Genomic DNA, 6,292 nt, shown 5'->3' with positions numbered 1-6,292 from the left:
TGACTAACACAGAGGCAAATGGGGTATAGCCCATGTGCCGTCCCAGAGGCATGTGAGCACGGGGCTGTGTCCTGGTGGTGAGCATCCCTGCATCCCCCTGCATGACCTGGCCGGTGTGCTTCTGATTGATCTATGTGTGTGCCACACTGGCTGTTAAAAATCTTTTTTTTTTTTTTTGAGACAGAGTCTCATTCTGTCACCCAGGCTGGAGTACAGTGGTACAAATTCAGCTCATTGCAACCTCTGCCTCTCAGGTTCAACTGATTATCCTGCCTCTGCCTCCAGAGTAGCTGAGATTATAAGCACTTGCCACCATACTTGGCTAATTTTTGTATTTTTTTAGAGACAGGGTTTCACCACATTGGCCAGGCTGGTCTCGAACTCCTGATCTCAAGTGATCCACCCGCCTTGGCCTCCTAAAGTGCTGGGATTACAGGTGTGAACCACTGCGCCCAGCCTAAAAATCATTTTTTATTACCTCTGGGAAAAATTATTGGTTAACTTTAGACTTTGATACATTGTTTCCGTATTACAATTCTTAGAGTAGTGATTTTTAAAAATATAAAAAATAACTTAAAGGAAAAATTAGAATGATTAAAAAAATCAATCCAAATGAAGGCAAGAAGGGAAAAGAATGAAAGAACAGACAAAGAAAAAGTACAACTTAACCTGCTAGCTCTAAACAACAGATATAAGAAGTCATATTAAACTTAAGTTTTTCCAACTAAAATACAAAAGCTGTCAGAATGGAAAGAACAAAAGTATTTGTTGTTAACAAGAGACATATCTAAAACATAAGGATGCGGAATGTTGAAAGTGAAAGGAGAGGAAAAGATAAACCAAGAAAATGTGAATTTTTAAAAGTCGGTGGAGCATTATTAATAGCAGACAAAATAGATTTAAGACAAAGAAAATTACTAGAATGTAGTTCATGTCATAAAGTCAGGAGTTCACTCCAGAAAGATACACACATTTGGTTAAAAGAACAGAGTCCAGAGTCAGCCTGCCTATCTCAGCCCGGCTCTGCTCCTTTCTGTGTGTGTGATCTTCAGCACATTACTTAATCTCTGCTATTTTCACTGTCCTCCCATGAAAATGGGGATAATACTCATACCTCCCTTTTTTTGTTTTTTTTTTTGTTTGTTTGTTTGTTTGTTTGTTTTGAGACGGAGTCTCGCTCTGTCACCCAGGCTGGAGTGCAGTGGCCCAATCTCGGCTCACTGCAAGCTCCACCTCCCAGGTTCACGCCATTCTCCTGCCTCAGCCTCCAGAGTAGCTGGGACTACAGGCGCCCGCCACCACGCCAGGCTAATTTTTTGTATTTTTAGTAGAGACGGGGTTTCACCGTGTTAGCCAGGATGGTCTCATTCTCCTGACCTCGTGATCCGCCCACCTCGGCCTCCCAAAGTGCTGGGATTACAGGCGTGAGCCACCGCGCCGGGCCAATACTCATACCTCCCTCTAAGGGTAGTTGTGAGGATATAACGGAGCTAGTATGTAACGAAGGCAGTTAGAACAATGCCTGGCGTGCGTGTTCATAGCAGGCACTACATAAATAGGACACGAAATTACAAACCCTAATGACAGGTATAAAAGTATGTGAAGGAAAGGCTGATAGAACTTCAAAAATAAAGAGATACTAGTCTGAATTCTTTTTCAGACAGAGTCTCGGTCTGTCACCCAGGCTGGAGTAAAGTGGCATGATCTTGGCTCACTGCAACCTCCACCTCCTGGGTTCAAGTGATTCTTCTGCCTCAGCCTCCCAAGTAGCTGGGATTACAGGCATGTACCATCACGCCCAGCTAATGTTTGTATTTTTAGTAGAGACGGGGTTTTGCCATCATGGCCAGGCTGGTCTCCAACTCCTGACCTCAAGTGATCCACCCGCCTCTGTCTCCCAAAGTGCTGGGATTATCGGCGTGAGCCACACACCTGGCCTGGACTTTTTTTTTTTTTTAACAGACATCCTCTCAGTGATTTAAAAAAATTCAGTAAGAATATAGAAGACTTGACAATACAAAAAAACTTAAATCAATGGACAGATATAAAACACTGCATCCAATAACCTCAAATACACTATTTTCTAAAACTGGCTATGTCCTGGATCATAAAGTAAATCTCATCAAATTTCATAGACAGCATGTATGCTATCATGCAAAGTGTCTTCTAAAACTACAGTGCAATAAAGTGAGAACTAAAATCCAAAAACCTAAGCAGAAAATCCTCATCTGTTTGCAAATTAAGAAACCTGCTTCTGAATCACTCACACATGCAAATTAGAAAATATCTTGAACTGAATGTTAATTAAAAGACTCCATATCCCAACTTACGGAATTTAATTAAGCAGAATGTAGTAAAACTATAGCCATAAAATGTGTATGATGGAAAAGAAGATTGAAAAATAATGAACTAAGAGTCCATCTCATGAAGTTAGAATAAGAATAGTAAAATAAACCTGAAGAAGTGAGAAAGAAAGAAATCACAAAATTCTGAGCACAAACAAATAAAATTGAAAACAAACATAATAAAGAGGACCAACACTAAAGGTTACTTTCTTTAAAAACAAAAACAAACAAACAACGAACTAATAAATTTGGCATAGCACCAGTGAGCTGGACTCAGAGGCAAAAGACAGCACAAACTGCTTTCAACAGAGCATCACGATAGTGGTTGCTGGCATTAAAAAGATAACAAGAGAATATAACAGATAACTTTTTCCTGAAATTTAGAAGAAATAGTCTAATTTTTAGGTAAAGGTAACTCATCAGAAATGACTCAAGAAGAAATAAAAAGCGACAATTGCCCTAAAATACAAAATACTAAAATACAACAAAAAAAACTGAATCAGCATCAAAAACCAAAAGAAAAGCCCAGCTTCAGATGGCCTCACTCTTGAGTTCAGCCAAACCTTAAATTAAAGACCAAAAGTGCCAATCTTATAAAAGCTTTTCTACAGAATAGAAAACAGCAAAAATGCTTGTTTGCTTATTCTATAAAGCTGACAAAGCTTTGTTCCCGAAATAAAAATAGTTTTAAAAAGGAAAATTGTAGACTAATCTCACTCATGAAAATAAATATAAAACTTCTAAACAAAATAGTAACAAAATAATGTAATCTGTAGTTAACGGGTTAAGGGAGAAAAGTCACATGAACATCTGAATAAATATAGAAAGTCATTTGTAAAATTCAACAACTACTTGTGATTTTTTAAACAAAATTTTAAACTAGAAATGGAAAGAAACTATTAATCTGATGAAGCTATTTTAAATAAAGATTAGAAAAGAAAGCTATTCATTACATAGATGTATGTATATATGTACGAACATGTGTATGTATGTGAAACCTATTTAAAATGAAAGGATACGGAAAGTTTCTTTTAAGTTATTAAACATATCCCAGGCAAATATAAATGAAAAGAAAGCTGTATATCAATTTTGGTATCAAAACTGTTTTAAGGCCAAAATTTTAAAAATCAGAAAGAAAAGGAAAGAGTATTAAAAATAAAAATATAAATTAGATATTTTAAAATATTCCTTTGAAGCTAACAGATCAAGCAGGCAAGTAATAACCAAAGGCATAGAAGCTTCGATTAATATTTTGAATAATCTTGGTTAATTAGAGATTAAAGAAAATGAGCATTGCCTCTAAGTGCACACAGAACAGTCATGAACACGAGCGATACATAAGCCCATGAAGGAGGGCCCAATGCATACCAAAGAATCAGCAACATTCAGCCCATCTTCTCTAGCCTTATATAAAATTTAAAAAATCGGTATCAAAAGTGGGAGGCTTAGGCAGGAGAATTGCTTGAACCTGGAAGGCAGAGGTTGTTGTGAGCCAAGATCGCGCCACTGCACCCCAGCCTGGTCAACAGAACGAGACTGTCTCAAAAGAAAAGAAAAAAAATCAATATCAAAAGGATCAATGTATATAATCCCATATAGATGAAAATCAAAAACAACACATACATCATCTTTGTAATAAAGAAGAAAAATAAGGAAAATTATTAAATATTTCACATTGAATGACAAGAAAATGACCACATGTCAACATTTGTAGGACTAAGAAAGTTATATTTAGAGGTAAAACTATAATTTTAAATGCATTCATTCAAAAACAACAAATGAGGTAAGCTCTGAGTCAACAGGCTTCACAAAGAAGAAGAGTAACCCCAAGCAAGCAAACACCCGAGATAAGGGCTGACACGAATGAAAGAAAGAATAATACAAAAAGAGAGAAGATGAATCAAACCAAATATTCATTTCTTTGAAAAAAGTTGGAATATAGAAAAGCCAGTAGTAAAACTAATCAAGAAAAAGAGAGAAGCAATTCAAATTTAAAAATATATATAAAAATAAAAATAAAATAAAAAGAGAAGGGGAAATGGACACATTCTCTTAAAAACTTGAAACGCTGGCCGGGCGCAGTGGCTCACGCCTGTAATCCCAGCACTTTGGGAGGCCCAGGCAGGTGGATCACCTGAGGTCAGGAGTTCGAGACCTTGCTGACATGGTGAAAACCCCGTCTCTACTAAAAACACAAAAAATTAGCTGGGCATGGTGGCAGGCACCTGTAATTCCAGCTACTCAGGAGGCTGAGGCAGGAGAATCGCTTGAACCCGGGAGGCGGCGGTTGCAGTCAGCTGAGATCACACCACCGCACTTCAGCCTGGGCAACAGGAGTGAAACTCTGTCTCAAAAAAAAACTTGAAATGATTAATTGACATAAGAATTAGAAAATCTGAATAGCTCAACAGCCAATTACCAAAATCTGAATAACCCTTTGAGGTAAGCACTATTACTCCCCCACTGCAGAGATGAGAAAACTAGAGAATTGGTCATTTGAGTACCTTGGCCAAGGTCACAGAACAGAGCCAGGATTTGAACCCAAGCAGTCTGATTCTGTGACTTCTCTCTACCCCATGGTGGTGGATTCTATGTGTCAACTTGACTGGGCCACTGGGTGCCCAGATTAAACAGTGTTTCTGGGTGTTTGCAGATGAGACAAGCATTTGAATCTGTGGGCTCAGTAGAGCAGACTTCTCTTCCTAATGTACGGGGGCCTCAGCCAATCCCTTGAGGGCCTGAGTAGAACAAAAGGAGAAAGAATCCGCCCCTTTTGCTTCCTGCCTGCCTGCGTGGGCAGATCTCATCTCATCTTCTCCTGCCCTTCAACTGGGATTTACACCTCGAGGCCCCTTGGTTCCCAGGCCTTTGGACACAGACTGGAATTGCACTACCCACTCTCCTGAGTCTCCAGCTTGCAGATGGCAGGTCATGGAACTTCTCAGCCTCCATAATAGTGTAAGTCAATTCCTCATAATAAGTCTCTTCATGTATATGTTAACTTGACTAAGCCACTGGCTGTTCAGATTAAACACTACACATTTTTTTAAATAAATACATATATACACATCTCCTACTGATTCTGTTTCTCTGTCAAACCCTGAATAATACAACCCCCCATTGCTTTACTGTTTTGCCTTGATAGTAGAGCAATAAGGCAAATTGTATGACAGTGAGCAGCAGCTGTGTCTTTCATCTCAACATCACTCTGCCTAGCATATCAAAGAGGATTTTTACATTTAAAAATAATTAGGACTTTTTTTAGATAGGTAAACGCTCACATGATGAAAAGTACTAAAAAGGTCTGCAGTAGAGATCTCCCTACCACTTTGCCCCAAGATACTCAGGGGCTCTGCCCCGAGGTAATGCTATCACTGTCCTGTGGATCATTTTAGAAATATTGTATGCACGTGTAAATGAAGATATATATTGTTTTTTCCTTTTTTAATCTAATAGATAGCGTATTATATACACATTTTCCTGCTCCTTGCTTTTTTTTTACTTTAACAATCTATCTTGAAGATCATTTTAACTCAATGAAAATGGCCTCATTCTTTTTACAGCTGCAGTGTATTCCAATGTGCATAGACTATAATTTAATCAATATTCTGCTGCAAGAACAGTAAGATGTTTTCTAATCTGTTGTTATTTCAAACAGTGCTGAATTGAATATATCTTTTTGTTCATGTGCAAATAAATCTGAAATGTATATCTGTTACAGTTATGAAAGCTGTATAATGAATTACCCTAAGTCTAAGTAATCTAAAATGGAGACCATATTTATTTTTGCTCAGAAATCTGTAATTTTGGCAAGCTGAGCTCAGTAAGGTTGGGCCCTGTCTGTCTCCCTGCAGTGGCTAAGACCCCAGCTGGGAGCAGACCCTCACCTGTGGCCTCTCTATGTGGCCTGGGCTTCCTCACAACATGGCGGCTGAGTTCCAGAGGTA

The sequence above is a fragment of the Homo sapiens genome, chromosome 13 (assembly GCF_000001405.40).
Source record: "Homo sapiens chromosome 13, GRCh38.p14 Primary Assembly".
Lineage (NCBI taxonomy): Eukaryota > Metazoa > Chordata > Mammalia > Primates > Hominidae > Homo > Homo sapiens.
Note: the sequence above shows the minus strand (reverse complement) of the source record.